General features: G+C 38.5%; 1 protein-coding gene and 1 pseudogene across 7 annotated transcripts in view, besides 4 other annotated features; one reads left to right on the forward strand and one right to left on the reverse strand.

Moving 5' to 3' along the window:
* Positions 7,886 to 7,935: an enhancer, noted in NCBI's record as "active region_10774". NCBI's record gives its function as "activates an Ori minimal core promoter by ATAC-STARR-seq in GM12878 lymphoblastoid cells {active_cell/tissue: GM12878}" and the evidence as "EXISTENCE:reporter gene assay evidence [ECO:0000049][PMID:35858748]".
* LOC100130180 (NFE2 like bZIP transcription factor 3 pseudogene) lies at positions 9,218 to 12,061 on the forward strand (annotated as a pseudogene).
* Positions 9,888 to 9,937: a silencer, noted in NCBI's record as "silent region_7434". NCBI's record gives its function as "represses an Ori minimal core promoter by ATAC-STARR-seq in GM12878 lymphoblastoid cells {active_cell/tissue: GM12878}" and the evidence as "EXISTENCE:reporter gene assay evidence [ECO:0000049][PMID:35858748]".
* Positions 10,088 to 10,137: an enhancer, noted in NCBI's record as "active region_10775". NCBI's record gives its function as "activates an Ori minimal core promoter by ATAC-STARR-seq in GM12878 lymphoblastoid cells {active_cell/tissue: GM12878}" and the evidence as "EXISTENCE:reporter gene assay evidence [ECO:0000049][PMID:35858748]".
* Positions 10,148 to 10,227: an enhancer, noted in NCBI's record as "active region_10776". NCBI's record gives its function as "activates an Ori minimal core promoter by ATAC-STARR-seq in GM12878 lymphoblastoid cells {active_cell/tissue: GM12878}" and the evidence as "EXISTENCE:reporter gene assay evidence [ECO:0000049][PMID:35858748]".
* Positions 16,364 to 27,316, reverse strand: part of C16orf87 (chromosome 16 open reading frame 87) — a 34,578-nt gene continuing 23,625 nt past the window's right edge. For 6 of the 7 annotated variants that reach the window (NR_145834.2, NR_145836.2, NR_145835.2 and 3 more), the window contains one exon: positions 16,364 to 22,831. Coding sequence is in view for 3 of the 7 variants with exons in the window: in NM_001348660.2 (NP_001335589.1) it covers positions 22,713 to 22,831 (119 nt within the window). In the remaining 4 variants the exon portion in view is untranslated. Of the gene's footprint in view, positions 22,832 to 24,096; positions 24,208 to 27,316 lie in introns of all 7 variants that reach the window. The other variant, NM_001348661.2, reaches the window with a different exon arrangement.

Consider the following 27,316-nt stretch of genomic DNA (forward strand, 5'->3'; position numbering starts at 1 on the left):
AAGCTTTAGGAATCAATTCCTATTTCAAAATCCCTCTCAAATGATCAAAAACCATTCTTTTTGCAGTCCCAACCTTTCCTTCTGCTCCCAGACTAATATAATGTTATCATTCAACAATATTGGCCAGCCGCAGTGGCTCAAGCCTGTAATCCCAGCACTTTGGGAGGCCAAGATGGGTGGATCATCTGAGGTCAAGGGGTTTGAGACTACCCTGACCAACATGGTGAAAACCTGTCTCTACTAAAAATACAAAAATTAACCGGGTGCGGAGGTGCACACCTATAGTCCCAGCTACTCTGGAGGCTGAGGCAGAAGAATCACTTGAACCCAGGAGGCAAAGGTTGCAGTGAGCTGAGATTGTGTTACTGCACTCCAGCCTGGGCAACAGAGTGAGTGTCCGTCTCAAAAAAAAAAACACAAAAACAAAACCCCAAAAAAGGCCAATATGGTGTTTATTAGCACTAATTCTATCTATCATCTATCTATCTATCTGAGTCAGGGCCACTTTTTAAAAATTTGACATAATTGTACATATTTAAGAGATACATAGTGATATTCTGATAATACAGTGTAGAGTGATCAAATCAGGGTAACTGGCATATCCATCATTTCAACCAGTTATCGTTTCTTCGTGTTGGGGACATTCAATATCCTCTTTCTAACTATTTGAAACTATATATTAGCCTGGGCAATATTATGAGACTCTGTCTCTACAAACTACTTTTAAAAAATTTAGCCAGTCATGGTGGCACCCACCTGTAGTCCCAGCTACTCGGGAGGCTAAGGTGGGAGGATTGCCTGAGCCCAAGAGTTTTAGGCTGCAGTGAGCCAGGATCACTCCACTGCACTCCAGCCTGGCCAATACAGTAAGACCCTGTCTCAAAAAAAAAAAAAAAAAAGAAAGAAACTATGTATTATTAACTATAGTCATCCTACGGTGCTATGGAACACTAGAATTTATTCCTTCTCTCTAGCGGCAATTTGTAACACTAATTCTTTTTGACTAATAGTAAAGTCACTTCATTTCCTGAGGAATGACCTATTAAAAAACTATCCTTCCTCTCCAGACTGACTCCAGGTAAGGTTCCAGCAACCCCACTGCCTGGCGTGCCATCCAGCTCTACCAATCGTGTATTCCTAGCACTCCAATAGACCATCATTTTCATCGATACAGCAGTTTACTAAACAACTGCTCTGGTAAACAGTTTATGCTTTATATACATTGTCTAATCTATGAGGAGTTTACAGAGGAGCAAACTGAGATCTAGGAAGGTGAAGTGACATACCGAGTCACATCATTAGTAAGTGGCAAAGCCAGAATATAAATCCAAGTCGGTCTGTTTGACTCCAAAATATTGTTCTTTATGCCACACTAAGAAGAAATTTAAAGTGTTATGAAATTGTAGCTAAGAATCAAACAGCATACATCTCTCTAGGAGGGTCATAAACTTTTAATCATCTTTTCTGTCTGATAAAATGAAAAAAACCAAATTCTTAATATGTATGTTTGACAACTCAGTCACAGAGCCTCTGCTATTGCCTGAAATAAGAATCAACAACAAATCATTGCCTCAGCCAAAATATTTTCTCTTAAAGCTAGAAACATTTTAAAATCTGAAGTCTTGGGACACAAAAATTATTTTACATAAATTCATGTATCAAAGACATGTAATTGAATCAAGAAAAATAAAGTCTCTATATTCTAGGGATTGGCTGAAGCAAAACATATTTCATTGACTTTAAGATGCGCTTTTTAAAATGTTGTTGTTGTTGTTGTTGTTGTTTTGGAGATGGAGTCTCGTTCTGTCACCTAGGCTGGAGTGCAGTGGTGTGATCTCGGCTCACTGCAAGCTCCATCTCTCGGGTTCACGCCATTCTCCTGCCTCAGCCTCCCAAGTAGCTGGGACTACAGGCGCCCGCCACGACCCCTGGCTAATTTTTTGTATTTTTAGTAGAGACGGGGTTTCACCGTGTTAGCCAGGATGGTCTCAATCTCCTGACCTCGTGATCCGCCTGCCTTGGCCTCCCAAAGTGCTAGGATTACAGGCGTGAGCCACCACGGCTGACCCTTTTTTTATTTTTTATCTTAGGTAAAGACAGGGTTTCACCATGTTGCCCAGGCTGGTCTTGAACTCCTGAGCTCAGGAGATCCACCCACCTCAGGCTCCTAAAGGGCTGGGATTACAGGCGTGAACCACCATGTCTGGCCAAGATGCACTTTCTTCCCCCACTTTTTAACATCTCTGAAATTCACGTGCATCATACAATCAATGGTATCTGACACCATCAGCCAGGTAGCAGTTGTGGTATGGTTATCATTGTCTGCACATGAGTGAACTTGGCCACAGCTGTTCATCATCATTAATTCTATGTCTAAATAAGTCTAAAATAAATTTTTTTTTTTTTTTTTTTTTTTTTTAGAGACAGAGTCTTTCTCTGTCACCCAGGCTGGAGTGCAGTGGTGTGATCACAGCTCACTGCAATGTCAAACTTGTGGGCTGAATCCTCCTGCCTCAGTTTCTTAAGTAGCTGGGTCTATAGGTGTGCATCTTGCCTGGTTAATTTTTTTTTTTTTTTTTTTGTAGAGAGGCTGTCTCCCTATGTGGCCCAGGCTGGTTTCAAACTTCTTGTCACAAGCAATCCTCCTACCTTGGCCTCCCAAGGTGCTGGGATTACAGGCATGAGCCACCATGCCCAGCCTAAAATAATTTTTAAGTACAAAATTAAAATGTTAAAGGTTAATTGGCTTCCTTATATGTGTTACATGACACAAAAGTGTATTTGACAGCTGACGGTGTCTTAGATCGAATGAGGTTCAATATTTTGTTCAGAAAGACTTTTTTTTTTTTTTTTGAGACAGAGTCTCGCTGTGTCGCTCAGGCTGGAATGCAATGGCATGATCTCAGCTCACTGCAACCTCTGCCTCCTGGGTTCAAGCAATTCTCCTGCCTCAGCCTCCTGGGTAACTAGCATTACAGGCGCCCACCACCACGCCCAGCTAATTTTTTTGTATTTTTAGTAGAGACGGAGTTTCACTGTGTTGGCCAGGCTGGTCTCAAACTCCTGACCTCATGATCCACCCACCTAGGCCTCCCAAAGTGCTGGGATTACAAGCGTGAGTCACCGTGCCCAGCCGCAATAAATTTCTTAATGGTTATCTCCTACTGGTCCTCTTTCCTTGGTTGAACCCTGACTGACAATGCTTTACCCTCAACAGATAAAAGCAAAAAGGAAACCCTATAGTAAGATTAGGGCATAAAACATTACAATATTTCAAATGGCCATTTTGGGGGGCATCCTGGAGGTTTTTGCACTCCAGAAAATGCTCCACAGTAAGATTCAGATGAGTGAAGGTTTCAACTTTATTTTGCCAGGTTGGGGAAGGACTGGAGAGAAAGGGGTGGTAGAAAAGAACTTATATGATGCCATAGTAAATAATAAAATAGAAGTTGAGGTTCTGGAATTGAGTTCCTTAAAATTACCAGTTGGAGATAAATATAATAGAGAATAGAAAACCAATAGAGAGAATCAATGAAACCATAAATTGGTTCTTTGAAATGATCAACAAAATTAACAAACATTTAGCTAGACTAAGGAAAAAGAAGAGGCAAATGAGTAAAGTCAGAAGTGAAAGTGAGGACATTACTACTGACCATACAGAAACACAAAGGATTATAAGAAAAGACTATGCACAATTGTATGCCAACAAATTAAATAACCTAGATGAAACAGACAAATTCCTAGAAACACACAAACTACCTAAATGACTCAAGAAGAAATAGAGAATCTCAACAGACACATAACGAGAGATTGACTCAGTAATCAAAAACCTTTCAACAAAGGAAAGTCCAGAACCAGATGGTTTCACTGATGAATTCCATAAAACATTTAAAGAATTTTTCTTTTTTTTTGAGACGGAGTCTCGCTCTGTTGCCCACGCTGGAGTGCAGTGGCATGATCTTGGCTCCCTGCAACCTCTGCCTCCTGGGTTCAAGCAATTTTCCTGCCCCAGCCTCCCAAGTAGTTGGGATTACAAGTGAGCACCACCATGCCTGACTAATTTTTGTATTTTTAGTAGAGATGGGGTTTTGCCATGTTGGCCAGGCTGGTCTCAAACTCCTGACCTCAGGTGATCCCCCTCCCTCAGCTTCCCAAAGTGCTGGGAATAGAGGCGTGAGCCACTGCACCCAGCCTAAGGAATTTTAATATCAAATACTTCTACAAAACAGAACAGGAGGCAACACATACTAACTCATTCTATGAGGCCAGCATTACCCTGATATAGACAGACAAAGACATCAAAAGAAAAGAAAATTAAGCTGGGCACAGTGGCTCATGCCTATAATCCCAACACTCTGGGAGGCCAAGGCAGTAGGATCACTTGAGCTCAGGAGTTTGAGACCAGCCTGGGAAACATAGTGAGACCTCATCTCTACAAAAAATTTTTTAAAATCCGCTGGGTGTGGTGGTGTGTGCCTGTAATCCCAGCTACTCAGGAAGCCTGAGGCCAGAGAATTGCTTGAGCCCAGGAAATTGAGGCTGCAGTGAGCTGTGATCATGCCACTGCATGCCAATCTGGGTGAGAGAGCAAGACCTTGTCTCAAAAAAAAAAAAAAAAAAAAAAAGAAAAGAAAAAGAAAATTACAATAAACATTAGCAAGATGGCAGAAAAGGAGAATGCTGACTTCATCTCCTCTCACAGACACACCAAATAAACATCTACGCACAAATTAAATCCCTCTGAGAGAATGCCAAAAACTAGTTGAAAGACTCTAACACACTGAGCAACTGAGAAAATATTCACATCAAAACAGGTAGTAAAAGCTGAGACACCTTTGTGCACAAACCCCACCACAGGGACAGCACTTTACAAACAGGAAGCATCCCCCAACTCCCAGCTTCTCCCTCAGGAATGAAGAGTTTGTTTGTGAGCTCATCTAACTTGTAGAGTTAAAGGGCACTTCCAGTGGCTGTAGCCCACCCAGGATCAGTCCAGAGAGAATAAGCTAAGAGGCCCAGCTCCAAGTATCTCTCTGAAAGAGGTCTGTCTGCATACTTTTCCAGCTACTGCCTGAGGGTCGGGCTTCTGGCTAGCCTGTATCTGGGAGCAAACAGAGCAGATAAACAATAAACCTCTGAAAGGCTCTAGGGAAGAATGGGCACTTCCTGTACCTTCTCCACCAGCTCAACTAAGTGATAAATCCAGGTCTGCAGATTTCCTGGAAAAAGTATATGTATGCATCAAGTGCCCCAATTTTAACAGTTCCCATATGAGGAACTGATTCCTAAATCACCTAGCTCTGGGAGTTGACAGGGCTCTGTATTCTGGAGTCTCCCCAGAACACAGAAGACAAAAAAAGCTGGTTGCTAAATGGGTGCACATCCAGTGGATTCCTTTGAAACTCGGAATGTGCAGACTGCATAAAAGTGCAGGCATTTGCCACAGATCCTCTTCCAGGCTTAGGACAGAGTAAGTGGGAGATAAACTCTAGCTCCCAGCTTCTCCCTGAGGTAGAAGGAATTGGAACATAAATCTAGCACTCCGACTTTTCAAGCTGCATCTCAAGGGACTGGCTTCTATCTCACATATCTTGGGGTGCTGACAGAACTTGGCACACCCTAGTATCCAAAGGGCCATGAAGAACAAAGCAATTTGGACAAGCAAAAAGATATGAGAGGCATCTAGAATTAGAATATCTGGTAGGGCTGGTTGGTGAGGTCCATCTCCCAGATGAGGCCAGTGTGACAAGACTAGAAGAGGTGGCTGTCTTACCTACTGTGCAAAAACCAACACAGAAAGTCAAGAAAAGTGAAGAAACAGGGAAATATGTTACAAATAGAACAAGATAAATCTCCAGAAACAGAACCTAGGGAAATAAAGATACGTGATTTACCTGATAGGGAATGTGAAATAGGTCATAAAGACGTTCACCAAGATTAAGAGAGCAATTCTTGAACTGAAAATTTCAACAGAGATAGGAAATATTTAAAATTATCAAGCAGAAATCGCAGAGCTGAAGAATAACTGAACTGAAAAATTCAATAGCATTCAACAGCAGACTAGATCAAGAAGACAGGATCAGTGAACTAGAAAAGAGGTCAATCACAATCACGCAATCTGAGAAGTAAAAATAGAATAAAAGAGTAAAGATAACTTAAAAGACTTATTGGAAAGCATTAAGGAGAACAATTTATACATTACTGGAGTACTAGGAGGAGAGAGAGAGAAAGAGATGGCTGAAAACTTCCCAAGACTGGGGAAGAAAAGAGAAATCTGGATCCAGGAAGCCCAAAGGATGCCAAATAAGAAGAATCCAAAGAGATCTACACAGAGACATATTATAATCAAACTAACAAAAGGTAAAGACAAAGAATTTTGAAGCAGCAAGAGAAAGGCAGCTTGGTACATACAAGGAAATCCACATTAGACTAACCGTTTTCAGCAGAAACCTTGCAGGACAGAAGGGAGTGGAACAGTACATTCAAAGTACTCAAGGAAGAAAACTGCCAACCAAAAATATTATGCCCATCAAAACTATCCTTAAAAAACAAGGGGCTGGGCCAGGTGGGGTGGCTCATGCCTGTAATCCCAGCACTTTGGGAGGCTGAGGCAGGCAGGTCACCTGAGGTCAGGAGTTCGAGACCAGCCTAGCCAACATGGTGAAACCCCATCTCTATTAAAAATACAAAAATTAGCTGAGCGTGGTGGCAGGTGCCTGTAATCCCAGCTACTTGGGAGGCTGAGGCAGGAGAATCACTTGAACTCGGGAGGCGGAGGTTGCAGTGACCCGAGATCACACCATTACACTCCAGCAAGAGTGAGACTCCAAAAAAAAAAAAAAAGAGGGGCTATAAAGACTTACTCAGACAAACAAAAACTGAGGGAGTTTATCACCACTAGACCTGTCTGACAAGAAATAAGAAATGATATGGGGAGTCCTTCAAGCTGAAAGAATGCTGAACAACAATAGGAAAGCAAAATAAAGCATAAAACTCATTGGTAGATGTAAATACACAGGCAAAAAATCTTTTATTATTCCAACAGTGGTGAGTAAATAGACTGCAATCTTACTATGAAAGTTTAGGCCAGGCACGGTGGCTCACACCTATAATCCCAGCACTTTGGGAGGCTGAGGTGAGTGGATCACTTGAGGTCAGGAGTTCGAGACCAGCCTGGCCGACATGGCAAAACCCCATCTCTACTAAAAAGAATACAAAAATTAGCTGAGTGTGGTAGTGCACACCTGTAATCCCCCAGCTACTTGGGAAGCTGAGGCAGGAGAATCACTTGAATGTAGGAGGTGGAGGTTGCAGTGAGCCAAGATCAGGCCACTAGCCTGGGTGACAGAGCAAGACCCTGTCTCTTAAAAAGCAAAAAAAAAAAAAAAAAAAAAAGTTTGAAGTATTAGGCCAGGCTTGGTGGCTCACACCTGTAATCCCAGCACTTTGGGAAGCTGAGGCAGGCGGATCACCTTAAGTCAACACAGCAAAACCCCGTCTTTACTAAAATTACAAAAAAATTAGCCACGCGTGGTGGCGGGCACTTCTAGTCCCAGCTACTTGGGAGGCTGAGGCAGGAGAATCTCCTGAACCGGGAGGCGGAGGTTGCAGTGAGCCAAAATTGCGACATTGCACTCCAGCCTGGGCAACAAGGAAAACTCTATCCCAGAAAAAAAAAAAAAAAAAGGTTAAAGTATTAAAAACAACTAATACTAAAATATGTTAATGGATACATAATATAAATAGTAGACAATTGTGACATCAATAGCATAATGTGGGAAGAGAAGAGAGAAAAGCATTCTTGCATGAGAGGGAAGTTATCAGCTTAAAGTAGACTGTGAGAACTATATTCTGTGTAAGCCCCGTGATAACCACAAAGAAAAAGGGAATCAAAACCTAGCAATGCAAAAAAAAAAAAAAAAAAAAAAAAAGAAACAAAATGACAGCAAGAAAAAAAAAGGAAATAAAATAACCACAAGACAAATAAAACAACAAAATGGCAAGAATAAATCCTTCCTTACCAAAAATTACTTTAAATTTGAATGGAATAAATGCATTAAAATCATGCTGAAGAGGTATCTGCACTCCCATGTTTATTGCAACATTATTTGCAATAGCTAGATATGAATTCAACCTAAATATTCATCAACAGATGAATGGATAAAGAAAATATGGTATATACAACAATAGAATATCATTCAGCCTTTAAAAAGAAGAAAATCCTGTCATTTGTGATACTGTGGATGAACCTGGAGGACATCAGGCTAAGTAAAATAAGGCAGGCACAGAAAGACAAATGCCACACGATCTTACTTATATGTGGAATCTAAAAAATGTCAAACTCATAGTACTAGAGTAGAAAGGTGGTTACCAGAGGCTGGGGGTTAGAAGAAGGAGAGAACAAGGAATCAGAGTGTCAAATAAATGATCTAAGAGTACAAAGTTTCCATTAGGATGAAAAATATATAAGATCTAACACACAGTAGGGCAACTATAGTCAATGATAATGCATTATGTATTTCAAAATAGCTAAGAATAAATTTTAAAGGTCTTACAACAAAAAAAATGAGGTGATAGGTATGTTAATTAGCTTAATTATTCCACATTATATAATACATCAAACCATTACATTGTGCCCCATTCATGTATACAATTATAATTTGTCAAATAAAAATATTTTTTAAAACAAAAAAATGTAAATGGAATAAACTCCACAAAAGAAAGATGTAGAGTACCTGAACAGATTTAAAATTTATATGTTGTCTACAAGAAACTCGTTTAGACTCAAGGACACACAAAGGCTGAAAGTGAAGGGAAGAAAAAAGATATTGCATGCAAATGTTAACCCAAAAAAGGCAGAAGTTGCTATAACTCATATCCAAGAAGGCAGACTTTAAGTCAAAAACTGTCACTAGACACAAAGAAGGTCATTTAACAAAAAATGGGTCAACAAGATATAACAATTAGAAATATATATACACCAAACTTAAAAGCACCTAACAAAGCAAATATTGACAGATCTAAAAGTACAAATTGACAGCAATAGTAGTAGGAGACTTCAACACTCCACTTTCAGTAACAGACAGAACGTCCAGACAGAAAATCGGTAAGGAGTGAACTTGAACACTATAACAAATGGACTTAACAGACATAAATAGAACTTTTCACTCAACAGAATACACATTCTGCTTTTCTTCCTCCTCCTCCTCCTCCCCCTCCTCCTCCCCCTCCCCCTCCTCCTCCTCTTCCTCCTCATTCTTATTCTTATTCTTCTTTTTTAAGATACAGGATTTCAATCTGCCACCCAGGCTAGACTGCAGTGGTGTGATCAGAGCTCAGTGTAATCTTGAACTGGCCTCAAGCGATCCTGTCCCTTCAGCCTCACAGTGCTGGGACTACAGGTGTGAGCCACCAAGCCTGGCCTACACATTCTTAAGCACACACAAAACATTCTCCCAGATATATTGATCACGTTAGGCCACAACAGAAGTCTTAACAAATTTAAGGTCAAAATCATATCAAGTATGTTTTCCAACTACATGGAGTGAAATTAGAAATCCGTAACAGCACACACACAAAAAAGGAACATTCACAAATAGTGAAAACTAAATAACATACTCCTAAACAGCCACTGGACTAAAAAGGAAATAAGAAAATGGACCTCACCCTCTGCCTGCCACCGCCCACCCAGCTCCGCCCACCCTGCCAGCTCCGCCCACCCTGCCAGCTCCGCCCACCCTGCCAGCTCCGCCCACCCTGCCAGCTCCGCCCACCCTGCTACCGCGATGAGCTGCTACTCCCGAAAGGCCCGGCCAGCTCCGCCTCCGCGCTCAGCCCCTTCCCCGCCTCGGGAGGGTGAGCGGGCCAGGTGCACACCAAGGGCCAGCCGCTCCGGGAGGTGCGCGCGCTCGGGGGTCCCCTGCATCCCCCGCAGCCAAGTGGATTCGTGGCTGGTGCACAGCGTGGCAGCTGAGGATGCAGACGTGGCTCACGGGCTGCTCGGCGCCACCGCCACGTTGGCCAGAGGAGTCGGCGCCAGCCAGGCTGCACAGTGGGGGCGGCGGGGATCCCCAAGCAGCTCGGAGTAGCCCCTGGGCCGGCGGGGAAGAACGAGAAAAATGAGGCACTAAGAAAAGAGCATGAAGCTGGGGCTCCCAGTTCCCAGCACGAGGAAAATGTGTCAACCCAGAAGAACTCATTACAAAGCAGAACAATGAAGATGAAAACAAACAGCAGATAAACCTGACCGGGAGGCAGAAAAGACCACTGAACCTAGAAATGAGACATCTGAATGGGACAGATACTTCTTTCTCTCTGGAAGATTGTTGTTTTCATCATAGCCTGAAAATTCACTGGAGGGATCTCATCGGGAGATATTCCTCCTTTTCCAGGCAGTATCAATGATGGCATGAATTTCTTCAGCACATTATAATGGAGACTTTACCCAGGCTGTAAGTCACGATGTCAATATTCATGAGGCCATGTTGCTGTGTCCCAACAATACATTTCGAGGAGATCCAGTAGGAAGCACTTCACAGGCACAAGAACCATTTCTACAGTTACATTCTCATACCACCAATCCTGGGCAAACCCTTCCTAGAACTAATTTGAGAGGATCTCTTCCACATGTTGACAATCAGATGACGAATCTAAAAAGCCAAGACCTACTATATGACCTTCCCGTAAATGTATTTGATAAACTTAATGTCATTAGCCACAGACAAGGACTTTGGATGTTTCTCGGCTTTCTGAAGAACCAGATTCTGATTCTGGCCTTTCTTTAGACTCGTCACAATAGCACCTCTATCACCAGGTCTAATTCTTCTCACTCTGTGAAGCTGCTATAGGGTTTTAGTATAGTCTCGTTCCCATCATGACTTAGAAGGTGCTGTAGGAGGCTGCTACCCAGAACCCAGTATGTTTTATCACATGGATCATAGTAGTGATTATGGTTTCCATGGGGATCTTGCATTTCAAGACATATTTTATAACCACACTTATCACTTACAGCCAAATGCACCAGAATCTACTTCGGAATCTTTTTCAGGCCTGGAAAGTCACAGAAAATAAGGAGTAGGTACCTCAGTGACTGATAGAAACTTGAGCTGTGATGAATGGCATGCTAAAGCTTTGCATATCCCTTTTTCTGTAGATGAAATTGTCCACATGCCTGTTTTTTGTTTTTTTGAGACCGAGTCTTGCTCTCTTGCCCAGGCTGGAGTGCAGTGGTGTGATGTCATCTCACTGCAACCTTTACCTCCTGGGTTCAAGCAGTTCTTCTGCCTCAGCCTCCCAAGTAGCTGAGAGTCCAGGCACCCGCCACCACGCCTGGCTAATTTTTGTATTTTTAGTAGAGACGGGTTTTCACCATGTTGGCCAGGCTGGTCTCGAACTCCTGACCTCAGGTGATCTGCTCAGCTCGGCCTCCCAAAGTGCTGGGATTATAGGCATGAGCCACTGTGCCCAGCCCACCTGTTGATTTTTTCAGTAGCACATTAAATAGGTACTATCTGACAGACCTACAAGTCTTGCTCATCTGTGATATCAGATGAAGAGGGAAAAGTAAAGTTGCTGCTCAGAACTGTTACAAATGCAAATTAGACATAATTTTGAATCTAGAGGATGATGTATGTAAATTGCAAGCAAAGAAGGAAACTCTTGAGAGTGAGCCCAATGTAATAAAGCTATTAACATAATGAAACAGAAACTGCATGACATTTGTGATGTTTTTAGATTAATAAGAGATGACCAAGGTAGGCCAGTCAACCCAAACCAGTATGCTCTTCAATATAGCTGTGATGGAAGAAGAGCAAACACTCAGGTAAGAAAGAAGCTGTAGCAGGAAAGAAAATAAAATAAAAAAAAGAGCAAACACTGGGGATCTAATTATTTTAATATATATTTCAGTTTTTTATGATTTAAAATGCAAAATAGCCTTATTTTCATTTAGTTTGTTAGCACTGAAGTAGTGGGCTTTTCAAACACTATTTTAGTTTAATCTTTATATTTAGCTTATAAATTTTTCTATATGGAAATAAATTTTATATGCGAATTTTAAAAAAAGAAAATTTAAAAATATCTCAAGCTGGGAATGGTGGTACACACCTGTAGTCTCAGCCGCTTGGAAGGCTGAGATGGGAGGATTGTTAGTTTGAGCTCCGCCTGGGTAAAATAGCAAGACCCTGTGTGTATATATACATACATATACATACATACATACATACACACAAATGAAGACAAAAATACTACATATCAAAACTTACGGGATGTAGCAAAAGCACTACTAAAAGGGAATTTTATAGTGATAAATGCCTACATTATAAAAGAAGAAAGATCCCAAATAACCTAAGTTTACCCCTCAAGGTACTAGAAAAAGAACAAACTAAACCCAAAGTTAACAGAAGGAAGGAAATAATAAAGATCAGGACAGAAATAAATCAAAGAGAGAATAGAAAAACTGCAGAAAATCAACAAAATCAAGTTGGTTTTTCAAAAAATATAAAAGTTGAGAAACCTTTAGCTACACTAAGAAAAAAAAGAAGACGGCCGGGCGCAGTGGCTCACGCCTGTAATCCCAGCACTTTGGGAGGCCAAGGCGGGTGGATCACGAGGTCAGGAGATCGAGACCATCCTGGCTAACATGGTGAAACGCTGTCTCCACTAAAAATACAAAAAAAAATTCTCCGGGCGTGGTGGTGGGCGCCTGTAGTCCCAGCTATTCCGGAGGCTGAGGCAGGAGAATGGCGTGAGCCCGGGAGGTGGAGCTTGCAGTGAGCCGAGATCGCGCCACTGCACTCCAGCCTGAGCGACAGAGCAAGACTCCGTCTCAAAAAAAAAAAAAAAAAGAAAAAGAAAAAAAGAAAAAAAAGAAGACTCAAAATCAGAAATGAAAGCGGAGACATTACAACTGATGTCACAGAAATAAAAAGGACCATAAGGGACTATTATTATCAATTATATGCCAACAAATTGGATAACCTAGAGAAAATGGGTATTTCTAGAAACATAGAACCTACAAAGATTGAATCAAGACTAGAAAACCTGAACATACCAATCACAAATAAAAATATTAAAGTTGTAATAAAATACTTTTCATCAAAGAAAAGCCCAGGACCAGATGGCTTCATGGTTGAATTCTACCAAATATTCAAAGAATTAATACTGACCAGGTGCAGTGACTCATGCCTGTAATCCTAGCACTTTGGGAGGCTGAGGCAGGCAGATCACCTGAGGTCAGCAGTTTAAGACCAGCCTGCCCAACATGGTGAAACCCCATCTCTTCTAAAAATACAAAAATTAGCCAGGCTTGGTGGCAGACGCCTGTAATTACAGCTACTCAGGAGGCCAAGGCAGGAGAATCACTTGAACCCAAGAGGCGGAGGGTGCATGAGCCAAGATCACACCATTGCATTCCAGCCTGGGCAACAAGAGCAAAACTCTGTCTCAAAAAAAAAAAAAAAAGAATTTATACCAATCCTTCGTAAACTCTGCCAAAAAGTACAAGTTCTGAACTCATTTTCTGAGTGCAGCATCACCCTAATACTAAAGTCAGACATCGCAATGACATAACATCCTTTTATGATAAAAGAACTCTCAACAAAATAAATATAGAAGACAAATTCCTCAATGTAATAAAGGCAATTTATGAATAGCCTACATTCTCAGCTAATATCATTAATGGGGAAAAAACGGAAAGCTTTTCCTTTAAGATCTGTGTAAGGCAAGGATGCCCACTCAATACTTCCACTGAACATAGCACTAAAGATACTAGCAAGAGCAATCAGGCAAGAAAAATAAATAAAAGGCATCATATCAGAAAGAAAGAAGTACAATTATCCATTTGTAGATGACATGATCCTCAATATAAATAACCCTAACAACTTCACAGAAAAATTATTAGAATAAATGAATTAATAAGTTGTAAGATACAAAATCAACATACAAATATCAGTTGCATTTCTTTACACCAATAACAATCTATCCAAAAAAAAAATCAAGAAAAAAATCACATTTACAATACCATCAAAAGAATAAAATATTTAGACTTTTTTTTTTTTTTGAGATGGAGTTTCGCTCTGTTGCCCAGGCTGGAGTGCAGTGGCGCGATCTCGGCTCACTGCAACCTCCACCTGCCAGGTTCAAGCAATTCTCTGCCTCAGCCTCCCGAGTAGCTAGGATTACAGGCACCCGCCACCATACCCGGATAATTTTTGTATTTTTAGTAGAGATGGGGTTTCACCATCTTGGCCAGGCTGGTCTTGAATTCCTGACCTCGTGATCCACCTGCCTCGAACTCTCATAGTGCTGGGATTATAGGCGTGAGCCACCACGCCCAGCCCAGAAATAATTTTAACTAATAAAGATCTGTACCCTGAAAACTATCAAACATTGATGAAAGAAACCAAAGACACAAAAAAAGGAAAGATATCCCATGTTCATAGATTTGAAGAATACTATTTAAACTACACATACTATCCAAAATGATACAGATTCAACACAACCCCTATCAAAATTCCAATGACATTCTTCACAGAAAAAAAAAAACTCTTAAAAAAACACAAAAGACCCCAAATAGCAAAAACAATCTTGAGAAAGGAAAACAAAGTTGGAGGCATCACAATTCATGATTTCAAACTATATTACAAAGCTAATCAAAACAGTATGGTACTAGCATAAAAACAGACACATACACCAATGAAAAAGAACAGCAAGTCCAGAAACAAACCCAATCATATATGTTCAACTAATTTTCAACAAGGCCACCAAGAAGACACAATGGAAAAAGGATAGTATCATCAACAAATGGTGTTGGGAAAACAGGCTATCCATATACAAAAGAACTAGACTGGACCCTTACCTTACACCATATACAAAAAATCAACTCAAAATGGATTAAAAAACCTAAACCTAAGACCAGAAATCATAAAATTACTAGAAGAAAACAGGTAACAAGCTAGAAAAACTCCTTGATATTGGCCTTGGCTATGATTTTTGAATATTACACCAAAAGCACAGGCAACAAAAGCAGAAACAAACAAGTGAGACTACATCAAACTAAAAAGCTTCTACACAGCAAAGGAAACAATCAAGAGTGAAGAGATAATCTGTTGAATGGGAGGAAATATTTGCAAAACATACATCTAAGGGGTTAATATCCAAAATACATAAGTAATTCAAACAACTCAATAGCAAGAAAATAACCCAATTTAAAAATGGGCAAGGGATGTGAATAGACATTTCTTAAAAAGAAGACATACAAATGGTGTACACATATAAGAAAAAGTGCTCAGCATCACTAATCATCAGGGAAATGTAAATCAAAACCATAATATCAGCTCACACCTGTCAGAATGGCTATTATTAAAAAGACAAAAAATAACAAGTGTTGGTCAGGATGTGGAGAAACAGAAAATCCTGTACACTGTTGGTGGGAATGTAAACTGGTACAGTCATTATGGAAAATGGTATGGAGGTTCATCAAAGAACTAAAAATAGAACTACCTTATGATCCAGCAATCCCATTTTTGGGTATATATCCAAGGAAATGATGTCAGTACGTTGTACGTTGAAGAGATATCTGCACTCCCATTTTCATTGTAGCATTATTCACAATAGTCAAGATATAAAATCAATGTAAGTGTTCAACAGATGAATGGATAAAGAAAATGTAGCATAGGCCAGGCGCAGTGGCTCACGCCTGTAATCCCAGCACTTTGGAAGGCCGAGGTGGGCGGATCACAAAGTCAGGAGATCAAGACCATACTGGCTAACACGGTGAAACCCCGTCTCAATTAAAAAATACAAAAAAATTAGCCGGGCATGGTGGCGGACGCCTGTAGTCCCAGCTACTCGGGAGGCTGAGGCAGGAGAATGGTGTGAACCCGGGAGGCAAACCTTGCAGTGAGCCGAGATCACGCCACTGCATTCTAGCCTGGGCAACAGAGTGAGACTCCATCTCAAAAAAAAAAAAAAAAAAAAAAAAGAAAATGTAGTACATACACACAGTAGAATACTCTTCAGCCATTAAAAAGGAAATCCTGCCATTTATGACAATATGGATAACCTGGTGAATATTAAGTGAAATAAGCCAGGCACAAAAAAACAAGTATTGTATAACCTCACTTACATGTGGAATCTAAAAAAGTCAAACTCATAGAAACAGACAGTAGAATGGTGGTTACCAGTGGTGAGGGAGGGGAGCTAGGGAGATGCTGGTCAAATGAAACAAACTTTCAGTTAGGAGGCAAAAGTTCAAGAGATCAATTATACAGCATAACGACTATAGTTAATAACATATTGTATACTTGAAAATTGCCAAGAGAATTGTTGCAGCCACAAAAAAAATGGTAAGTATACATGATAATGCATATGTTCATTATCTTTACTTTAGACATCCTACAATGTGAACATACATATTGAAACATCATGCTGCATACAATATATGATTTTGTTAACTGAAATGATTTATTAAAATAAAATAAATGAACAGAGGTTCTGAGATCTGTGAGATAATACCAAAGAGTCTAACACTTGCATCACTGGAGCCTAAGAGGGAGGAGAAAGTAGAGCAGAAAATATCTGAATGGTTTAAAACTTTACATAATCTGATGAAAGGCATAAACTTACACATTTAAGCTCAACAAATCCCAAAGAGAATAAATTCAAACACCCGGGCACATCATAATCAAACCAATAAAAACCAAAGACAAAGATTCCTGAAAATACTCAGAGAAAAATAACATGTTTCATACAGGGGAAATATTACTTTAATGGCTGCACATTTCTCATCAGAAACCATGGAGGCTGAAAGAACTGTCAACACAGTAGTTTATATCCAGCAAAAATATCTTTCATGAATTAAGGCAAAATAAAGACATTCTCAGATGAAGAAAAAATAAGAGAATTAAATGTCAACAGACCTGCACTAAAAGAAATTTTCCAGATGAAAAGGACTGATACCTATGTAAACTTGGAACATCAAGAATTAAGGAAGATTAATACAAATGATAAATATTGTGGTAAATGTGATAGACTGTTTTCCTCTTGGGTTCTTAAAAATATCTATGATAGTTGTAAGGAAAAAATACATTATCTGATGAGTCTTATTTTTTATTTTTATTTTTTGAGACACAGTGTCTAGCTCTGTCACTCAGGCTGGAGTGGAGTGGAGTGATCTTGGCTCACTGCAACCTCTGCCTCCTGGGCTCAAGTAATCCTCCCACTTCAGCCTCCTGAGTAGCTGGGACTACAGGAACATGCTACCACGCCTAGCTAATTTTGTGTATTTTTTGTAGAGTTGGGGTTTCACCACATTGTCCAGGCTGGTCTCGAACTCCTGGACTTAAGCAATCTGCTCGCCTCGGCCTCCCAGTCCTGGGATTACAGGTGAGCCACTGTGCCCAGCCAAGTCTTATGATTTATAAGAAAATTATAACATAAAGGGGAGAGGGTAAAGGAATGTAAACAGTGGTAAGATTTTTCTACATTCCACTTGAACTGGTAAAATATTGACTTCTAAGTGAACTGTAAAAAGTGAAGTATGTTTATAGTAATCCCTAGAGCAAATACTGCAAAACTATTCAAAGAACTATAATTTTAAAAAACAATAAATTACAATCAGTAACAGAAAGATAACTGAAAAAAACTCTAAATATTTGAAAATTATAGTAATACCAAGAAAAATCAGAATATTCTAAATTGAACACAAAATTACAACACAATAAAATTTGTGAGATAAAGCAAATGGGAAATTTATAGCATTAAATGCTTTTTTTAGAAAAGCACAAAAAGCCTTCTGATCAGTGTTGAATTAAATAAATAAATAAATAAATAAGTAAATTTTAAAATCAATGATCTGAGCTTCCGCCACAATAAGCTAGAAAAGGGAGCAAATAAGCCCAAAGCAAAGAAAGGAGAAAATACTAAAGATCAGAAATTAATGAAACTTAAAACAGAAAAACAGCAAAATATCAATAAACCAGAGCAGGTTCTTACAAAAGAGAAATGCAGCCGGGCACGGTGGCTCATGCCTGTAAAGGCGGGTGGATCACCGGAGCTCAGGAGTTCGAGACCAGCTTGGCCAACATGGTGAAACTCCATCTCTACTAAAAATACAAAAAGAAGCTGGGTGTAGTGGCGTGCGCCTGTAATTCCAGCTACTCAGGAGGCTAAGGCAGGAGAATCGCTTGAACTCGGGAGGCAGAGGTTGCAAGGTTGCATTGAGCCAAGATCACACCACTGCCCTCCAGCCTGGGCGACAGAGCGAGACTGTAATCCCAACACTTTGGGAGGCTGAGTCAGGAGTTGAAGACCAGCCTGGCCAACATGGTAAAAACCTATCTCTACTAAAAATTCAAAAATTAGCCGGGCATGGTGATGCACACCTGTATACCCAGGTACTTGGGAGGCTGGTGAGGGAAGCTTGAACCCAAGAGGCAGAGGGTGCAGTGAGCCAAGATCGCACCATTGCACTCCAGCCTGGGTGACAGAGTGAGACTCCGTGTCAAAAAAAAAAGAAAAGAAAAGCTATCAGTATGTTTCACCATATGAACATTCTAAAGGGGAGAAAAAAGGTCCTATCAATTATGCAGAAAAAGCATCTGACAAAATTCAACATCTGTTCCTGACAGAAAACTTCCAACAAGCAGAAATAAAAGAGTCTACCCTCAATCTACTAAAGGGTATTTTTTCAAGCCCACAACAACAACAAAGTTATTTAATGCTTAATGACTGAATGTTTCCCCCCTACAACTGGATCAAGGCAAAAAGTCCCAACCAGTGCAATAAGGCAAAGAAAAAAATATAGAAATTATCAATAAAAGAACAAAACAGATTCCTTAATAATGCAAAAGGCAAATACTTGACTGGGGTAAAAAGAATTATTCTATTCCAGACTCTGTTATATGTCTCATACTTTTAATCCTGGAGAGTCTGCTTTGTATGTTAGGATAGTTATTAGTATAGTTGTAATCTTTGAGTAGTAAGTACTACTAATATTCAAACTATAATAAATGGGTTAAGGCAGCACAAAAGAATAATTTAAAAAAATAGTTCCCTAGAAAATAGATCCTGAGAATAAAAATATATAAACATATATACATGTACTTCCAAATGTAAAAATGAAGCTTGTCATGTAGTAAAAGAAAAAACCCAGCTGCACAGAAAAAACTTTAATTAACTTAAATAAGAGATTTGTTAACAACAATATGCCTTAAAGGCTAGAAAGACAGAAAATACTAGGGAAAAAATGCTTTTAACTAGCAAGAATATAAGGCATCAAACCAAACTAGAAGGTAAAGTGGAAATAATTAAGAATGAGTTTCAAAGAATGACGGACAAAATGTTTTAGAGAAGAACACAATTTGGCAGAATGACTACCTGTATCTAGAGCATATTTTGAAAGTGGAATCAAACAAATTCAATACTTTTTTCACACAGGGTGTTTCTTGCTCTGCCTCCCAGGCTGGAGTGCAGTGGCAAGATCATCACTCACTGCAGCCTCGAACTCCTGGGCTCAAGTGATCCTTTAGCCTCAGCTGCCTAGTAGCTGGAAGCACCACACCCAGCTAATTTTACTTTTTGTAGAGACGCGGTCTCATCATGTTGCCCAGGCTGGTCTCAAACTCCTGGCTTCAAACAACTCTCCTGCCTTGGCCTCCCAAAGTGTTGGGATTACAGGTGTAAGCCACCATGCCTGGCCAATTAATACTTTATATAAAAGTAAGTAAAGAGCTTAATTTTTCTAAATTTAAGACAAACATGCAGATTGAAAGGCAAGCCAAAATTAAATATTGCCAAGTCATTTTAATGATCAGAATTAGAGAATCAAGTGCAATTACTAGAGTTAAAGAAGTCAAATACTTTTCAATTTGAAATCTTATCTGAGGGAGAACACTATCTGATTACTTTTAGGAAGCAACTCAGAGGTCATACTGACCTTTTTTTTTTTTTTCTTAAGTATTTCTGAAATTTAAAGAAATAAGAATAGACTGGCTAAATTTTCAGGTCATTTGCAATTTTAAATTTTCTCATCATAAACTGCTTCAAGCTGTTTGATCACTTCCACTGATTACTACACAAGAAATAATTTGCACAATTTCCCTTACTTTTATATCATTTACATTTAAATACAGCCAAAAAATACCCATGAAAATCTAAGAAATGTTCATTTCTAAAACTAACAAACAAAATCAAACTACAAGTATTAAAGTGCCCACAAAAACATTTTGGAATACCATGGAGTTGAGGCAGGGAGTAACAACTCTCAAACTACTTTTATTTAATCTTACTCATATTTAAGAATAAGTTATCTTCAACAGACCTAATCTAATTGTGGAATCATTTCAAGGTATTTTGAATAATCATATCATTTATAGATATCAGAGCAGAACAAATTTTGGATTAAGTAAAGAACTATAATTATACTCTTAGGACATCTGCTGATGACAGAGGTTTCTCTGACACCAGTGACAAAGTAATATTTTCTGGGACCATTACAACATGCCTAGACAAATTAAATTTTTTAGCTTTATAACAAGAAAGCTCATAGAGTACAATTTTTTGAAAAATTGGTTAAATAGGTTATGTCACAGAGGAAACCTAATTTGCCTCTCTGCCACGGAAATTTTTAAATAAGCCAATAATTTAACATTATGAGATCTGAAGTAATTACTTTTCTATACGGCAAGCTCCAGCCCAGCCACCAGTACCTCCTTTACCATATCCAATGAATATTTTAACATGACTTTCCTGTAATGGTCTTCAGCTTTAAATGGATAGACTCTGACATCGATAATTCCTTAAAGACGTGCTTATTCCACAAGCTGTTCTTGCTTTTTCTGAGGACATATATATGTATACAAGCATTTTTAGATATTAATCATTTTTAAGCTTTTTTACTTAAAATCAAAAGTTTCCTTACAGTATGTTTCAAAGATAAAATCACATTACATTATTGGGGAAACTACTAGTTAAGACTCTAAAACGCACACAAGGCTGAGTGCAGTGGCTCATGCCTGTAATCCCAGCACTTTGGGAGGCCAAGGCGGGCAGATCACCTAAGGCCAGGAATTTGAGACCAGCCTGGCCAACATGCTGAGACCCCATCTGTACTAAAAAATACAAAAAAAAAAACAGCCAGGCGTGGTGGCGCACGCCTCTAGTCACAGCTACTCAGGAGGCTGAGGCATAAGAATCACTTGAACCCAGGAGGCAGAGGTTGCAGTGAGCTGAGACAGTGCCACTGCACTCCAGCCTGGGCGACCGAGCAAGACTCTGTCTCCTAAATAAATAAATAAAATGCATACAAAATAGTTGCAGTAGTACCTGCAGATAGATACAGGGATTAAAGGAAAAGGAATCCTTAGGAAAATTCTTTATCCTATCTAGAGTACCTCTTAAGCTCCCTCTGCTGGTTACCATTTAAATAAAGTAGGAAAAAATGTTGACCTTTTTTCTTTGAGGAGGTGATGGGAGATGCAGGATGAAGTCTGAAATTGATAATGTTACGGCTAAAATTGAAAGGGAGATTCTCTTAAAAGGGGGCTAAATCTAACTGATGACTATCTTCTGTAAGAAGGCTTTAAAAGGATTTCTAAACAGATTGGGGGAAGAGCGACTGAAAATAAGGGGAGTGATTACCAAGTTTGAATATGTTAATCATTAAATTGATATGCCAAAATGCAAAAGCATTTAATATAAATCAACTATAAACGATTATGACTTAACACTAGAAAAATTAAGAATTTAAATATATTTCACAAACTTCACCAGAACAAAAAACTTTTATCACACTATTTAATCTACTTAGTTTCAATATTAAGGTTTATTTTTTCTTCCAGATTGAAAGTAACAATTTAAATAATTATCAGGATATAGAAACAAATATCCATTCAGATAAAACATTACTGCTTAAAAGTGGCTAAGAAATATTTTGCATGTAATAAATATATTTCATGTTTAGGTTAACAGGCACCATCTTGAGAGCAGTTTGTTTTTTTTTTTTAGCTAATAAATAAATTACATTCAAGAAAACAAGGTGTTTATATCTGAGTATATCATTAAATGTTTTTCTTCATATAGCACCCAAACTTCAAACTGTCTAGAAAGTATCTCCTAAAATATAACTCATACCTTAAGTAATAAAAATAAAGGCCAAGAAAAAAAATCAATTTAAGACAAAATTTACAGTTTATATTCTTAATTCCCCATTCAATAAAATATCGATTGCCAATTTAATAAAAGTAAATGAACTGTATATATGCAATCTGTTAGCACTGAAAATCTGAAATATATATTTTTAAAAATCACTCTTTCTGACAGTATTTAAAATATTGCATCTCTGGTGGCAAACCTGAAAACAATCAAGCATCTTATTACCCTAGTTTTCATACCTACCCCATACCCCATCACTTTTTATCCTTTAACATCCATCCAGCATTTTTGTTGGTTTTTTTTTGTTGTTGGCAAATACACTTACTTATATCCCAAACACAAAACACTGACAATACTCCTTGGTAAACAAGGAAATCCCAGAACAGTCCAAGCCTACACAGCTTTGCTCCCGAAGTGTGGCACAGGCTAAACGACAGGCGAGAAAGAAACAATCGATGGCCCTTATTGATGCAGTCAGAATGCTCCTGAGAGTCCATAACTGTTTGAGAATTTGCTGATGTTATCCTGACAGAAGTTTCAGCAGATTTTGCAAACAAGTATCAGAGAATAAGTCTTTGATTGATAATTTTTCTATTTATTTCTGCCAAGGCGACTGAAAACACGAAAGCCTTTTCATCAGACAGGTTAGCATAGATGTCAATTTCCTTTTCCTGTTTCTCTGTTAAAAGAAAAAGGGAAAGTTTAATATAAAGGCAGTAGATGCAGTAAATTTAAATTTTTTAAAGCTTTCAAGTATTTCTTTAAATGACAGTATTATATATAATACTACAATATACATTAAATGTTACTATGCTACTGAACTAAAAAGTTTTTTAAATTATACAAAGGAGTTACTGAAATGAAGATTAAATGAAGACAATATTTATTTCTATACACAGGCACTCTAACAGCTACATAATTTTTCTAAGAATCTCATACATTTCTATCTCCTCACTGTCTCAATCAAAATGAATTTTCTCTGCTAGACGAAATTCACTCTGAGAGATGGTCCCCTTCTGAACATCAATGGTGACTTTATGAATACATTAACATATTCATCTTCATCTTCTTATACAGGAAATGACATTTATTTTTATTTTTCCCCTCTCGATTACAAATGTAATCCAAGTTCACAGAAAATTTGAAAAAGAAAATAAAAATCACTCGTAATCTCATGAGTCAGCAAAAATCACAATTAACATCTTGGTGTATATTCTTCCAAGTTACTTTTTCAGGATCCCCTGATTCTATTTTTGTTTATTTTGTTTTGACAGTCTAATCAAAGTTAAATGCATATAATTTACAATCAAATCATTTTTATAAAACTTGTTAAAAAAAAAAAACAGAAGTCCTTTGCCCCATACACATTTTCCACTCTCCAAATGCAACTACTTTTTTTGTGACTTTTTTTTTCAGTTGTTCCTTTTTGCTTTTACAAAAACAAATCTCTAAGTAACATTTGTACAAGATGCTACTTCAGGGTTTTAGGCATTACTGATTCACTTTCCACCAGGGAAAATAAGGGTTACACTGTTTTGCATCTCTTGCCCCAATAAACACTCTGCCCATCCCTCATCTTCTCACTATAATTAAATCACAACTTTAGTAACATCAGTTTTCAGTGATTACATTATTATGCCTATGGTAAGTGATTTTTCACTTTTCCTTTACATTGTTTTCCCTGAAGTGATTCTCTTTTTACTTGCTTAGTTTTCATTTCTAACTCAACCCAATGTCTTTCCTAGTTGTATAAATTGTTTTTCAGGATGTTTACACGTATCAGGTATTTTATCATTTTTATCTTCTTGAAGAAATCGCTCCAAGTCTTCCAACCTGCTCCAGTATGAAATGATTGCTCTCTAGGCCTACTGCAAAATTATCATCTTGTGCTCTTTCATCAGCATCATGCTGGAGACTCTCATCTCTAGAGTTGGGTGGACCCACCTTTGTCTTGAATCCAAAGATCCTTTCTTGGTTTATTTCTTCATTTTGGTAGCAGGTAACTTGTAGGGGCTTCCTGAGAAAGGCAGTATTGGTAGCAAATTTTTTGAGACCCTGAATGTCAGAAAATATCTTTAGTCTACCTTCACATTAATTCATAGTTTGATTGAGTATAGACTTGTAGGTTTCCGCTTAGAACTGTGAAGGCAGTAAACTGTCTTCTGACTACTGGTGCCATTGTTGAGAAAACCAATACCTTTTTTATAGTTATTTTTAAAATCAATGATAAATTTACATATAGTGAATACACAGATCTTTTATGTGTTCAACTGGAGGAGTTCTGACAAACATATACAAACATGTAACCCATGTCACAATCAACATATAACAAATTTCCTCCAGAAATTCCTCATGCTTCTTTCCAGCCAATCCCTCTCTACACCTACAAGCAACCACTGTTCTGATTTCTATTACCACAGAATCATTCTGTCTGTTCCTAAACTTCATATAAATGGCATCATATATAGTATGTACTCTTTTGTGCCTAGCTTATTTTGCTCAACATGTTTTTGAAATTCATTGATGCTAGTCATATATCAGTAGTTTGTTCTTTGCTGGGCAATATTGCATTGTATTAGTTCCAATATCATTTTGCTTTTCTTTTTTCTGAAAACCTGAAAAATTTTATTTAACCAAAGATATGAGATATGATGACGAACTCTGGTATAATTTCTCTTTTTAACCATCATTTCTCTTTTTAGACTGGGAATTTGTAGGCCCTTTTAACAAAGAAACTCAATGTCCTTCAGGTTGGAAAAATTTTCTTGAATAAATAATTGTCATTGTTAAAGTCGTTGATGACTTCCTTCTCCTCCATCTTCCATGTTCCTTATCTGAAACTTTAATTATTTACAGATGTCAGACCTCATACTGGTCCTCTAAATTTCTTAAGGTTTCCATTCTGTTTTTTCCATCTCTTTTCAATTGTTATAGTTTCTGGAACCTTTCTTCAATTTTATCTTTAAGCCTTTTATTAAAGTTGTTCATTTCTGTGTATCATCTATGTTTTGGGGTTTTTTGGAATATTTTAAAGTTCATTTTCCAACTGGCTTTTTGACCTCTGCAATTTCCTTTTAAATATCACCTTGTTCATTTTACAATTACAATTGCTTCTTTTGCTAAAGATATTAATAGTAGTTTATAGTTTTTCTTTTCCCTGCAAAATCTTGCTTTTTTCCAAGTTATTTTTTCTCTCCTGTTGATTTGGTCTTAGCCTTTCATACTATAATAGATGCTTTCTTCCAGATATCTGGGTAATTCTTGGCAATATGCTCATATTTAGGAGAGTGACCAAAGAAGCTGATTAGAAACATACACATACGTGGAGCTTGACTGTAGTCATCAGATTAGGATGATCCAATTAGGCCACTTCTCTGTGAATCTCTAATGAGAGTATCTTTATTTGGGGCCTTTTCTCTTGGGTCCTTCGGATTCTCTAGAGAAGATATGTTCAAACTTTTTTACTTTTTTTACCTGGACGCTAATAAGCCAAACTCAAGAACTCAGCATTTACTATGTCCAATTTTCACCTAGGCTTCCTGATCTTAACATGGTATCCTGGCCGTCAACAGACACCTGGTGTTCCTGAGACCAAAGACTGTATTATTTACCTTTTTCAAAGGATAAACCTGGGGGATAAGAGGGTAAACAGTCCTGGTGGGCTACTCATAAAAAGACTTGCAAACAATCCTCTCATTTTTAGCCTCAATTTCACTTCTACTTCCAGACATAACTGATACACAAATTCCTGACTTTTAGGTAACTGTGTAATAAAAATCAGTTTCTTTCTTAGATTTCCCCAAAGGAGTTTAGAGCTAGATGTGTTTCTTCAATCCACAATCTTCAGCTTGAAGTCTACATTCATTTTTTTTTTTTTTTTTTTTTGAGACGGAGTCTCGCTCTGTCTCCAGGCTGGAGCACAGTGACGCGATCTCAGCTCACTGCAACCTCCGCCTCCTGGGCTCAACTGATTCTCCTGCCTCAGCCTCCCAAGTAGCTGGGACTAGAGGCACGCACCACCACGCCCGGCTAATTTTTTTTGTATTTTTAGTAGAGACGGGGTTTCACCATGTTGGCCAGGATGGTCTTGATCTCTTGACCTCATGATCCACCAGCCTCGGCCTCCCACAGTGCTGGGATTACAGGCGTGAGCCACCACGCCTGACCCATTCATTCTTAAGTTCATTAATATGATGTTCAGAACTGCCTAACATATTTTAATCAGTCAAAATGTCACTTCTATATTATAATATCCAGAATACCCTTATATATAAAACGAAGACTTACATTAGACTAACCAAAAATTGTTTAATGATTTGTTTTTATGACTTTATAAAGATATATTATTATGATGATGTCTAACAAGCTTTCCTTTTCCATTCTTCCTTCTTATTCTGTTTCAAAATAGAAAAGTCATTTTTCCCCCTTTGGATCTCTCATCTGACTAGATAGAAAAGTCCATTTTTAAGTTAGGTTTTTTAGACACATTGTCAGGTTTTCCTTAATTCATGGTTAAAATAAAGTTAAAGCTTGCTTCAAAATTTTCAAATGCTCTAAGAGCAAGGAATCAATAAAAACCAACTAAATAGCTATTTAGCACTAAGAAGCATATCCAAGAAATCTATCCTAAAACACAGACATTTCAAAAGTTCATGTTAGATTGGTATAAAAGTAAAACCGCAATTACTTCTGCACCAACCTAATAGTTCTTGTCCACATTATATTTAAGAGTACAATGGTTTACAACAAAGATTGGCAAACTAGGCCGAGTGCAGTGGCTCATGCATGCCTGCAATCCCAGCACTTTGGAAAGCCAAGCTGAAAGGATCCCTTGAGCCCAGGAGTTTGAGACCAGCCTGAGCAACATAGTGAGACCTCATTTATACTAAAAGTAAAAAAAGTAGCCTGGTGTGGTGGCATGCACCTGAGGCAGGAGGATCGCTTGAGCCCAGGAGTTTGAGGCTGAAGTAAGCCATGATCACTCCACTGCACTCCAGCCTGGGTAACAGAGTGAGACGCTATCTCAGAAGGAAAAAAAAAAAAGCAAGGAAAGAAAAGAAAGAAAGAGATTGGCAAACTATAGTACAAGTAACAAATGTGGCCCACCACCTGCTTTATAAAGTATTACTGGAACACAGGCATGCCCATTCATTTATGCATGATT

The sequence above is a fragment of the Homo sapiens genome, chromosome 16 (assembly GCF_000001405.40).
Source record: "Homo sapiens chromosome 16, GRCh38.p14 Primary Assembly".
Lineage (NCBI taxonomy): Eukaryota > Metazoa > Chordata > Mammalia > Primates > Hominidae > Homo > Homo sapiens.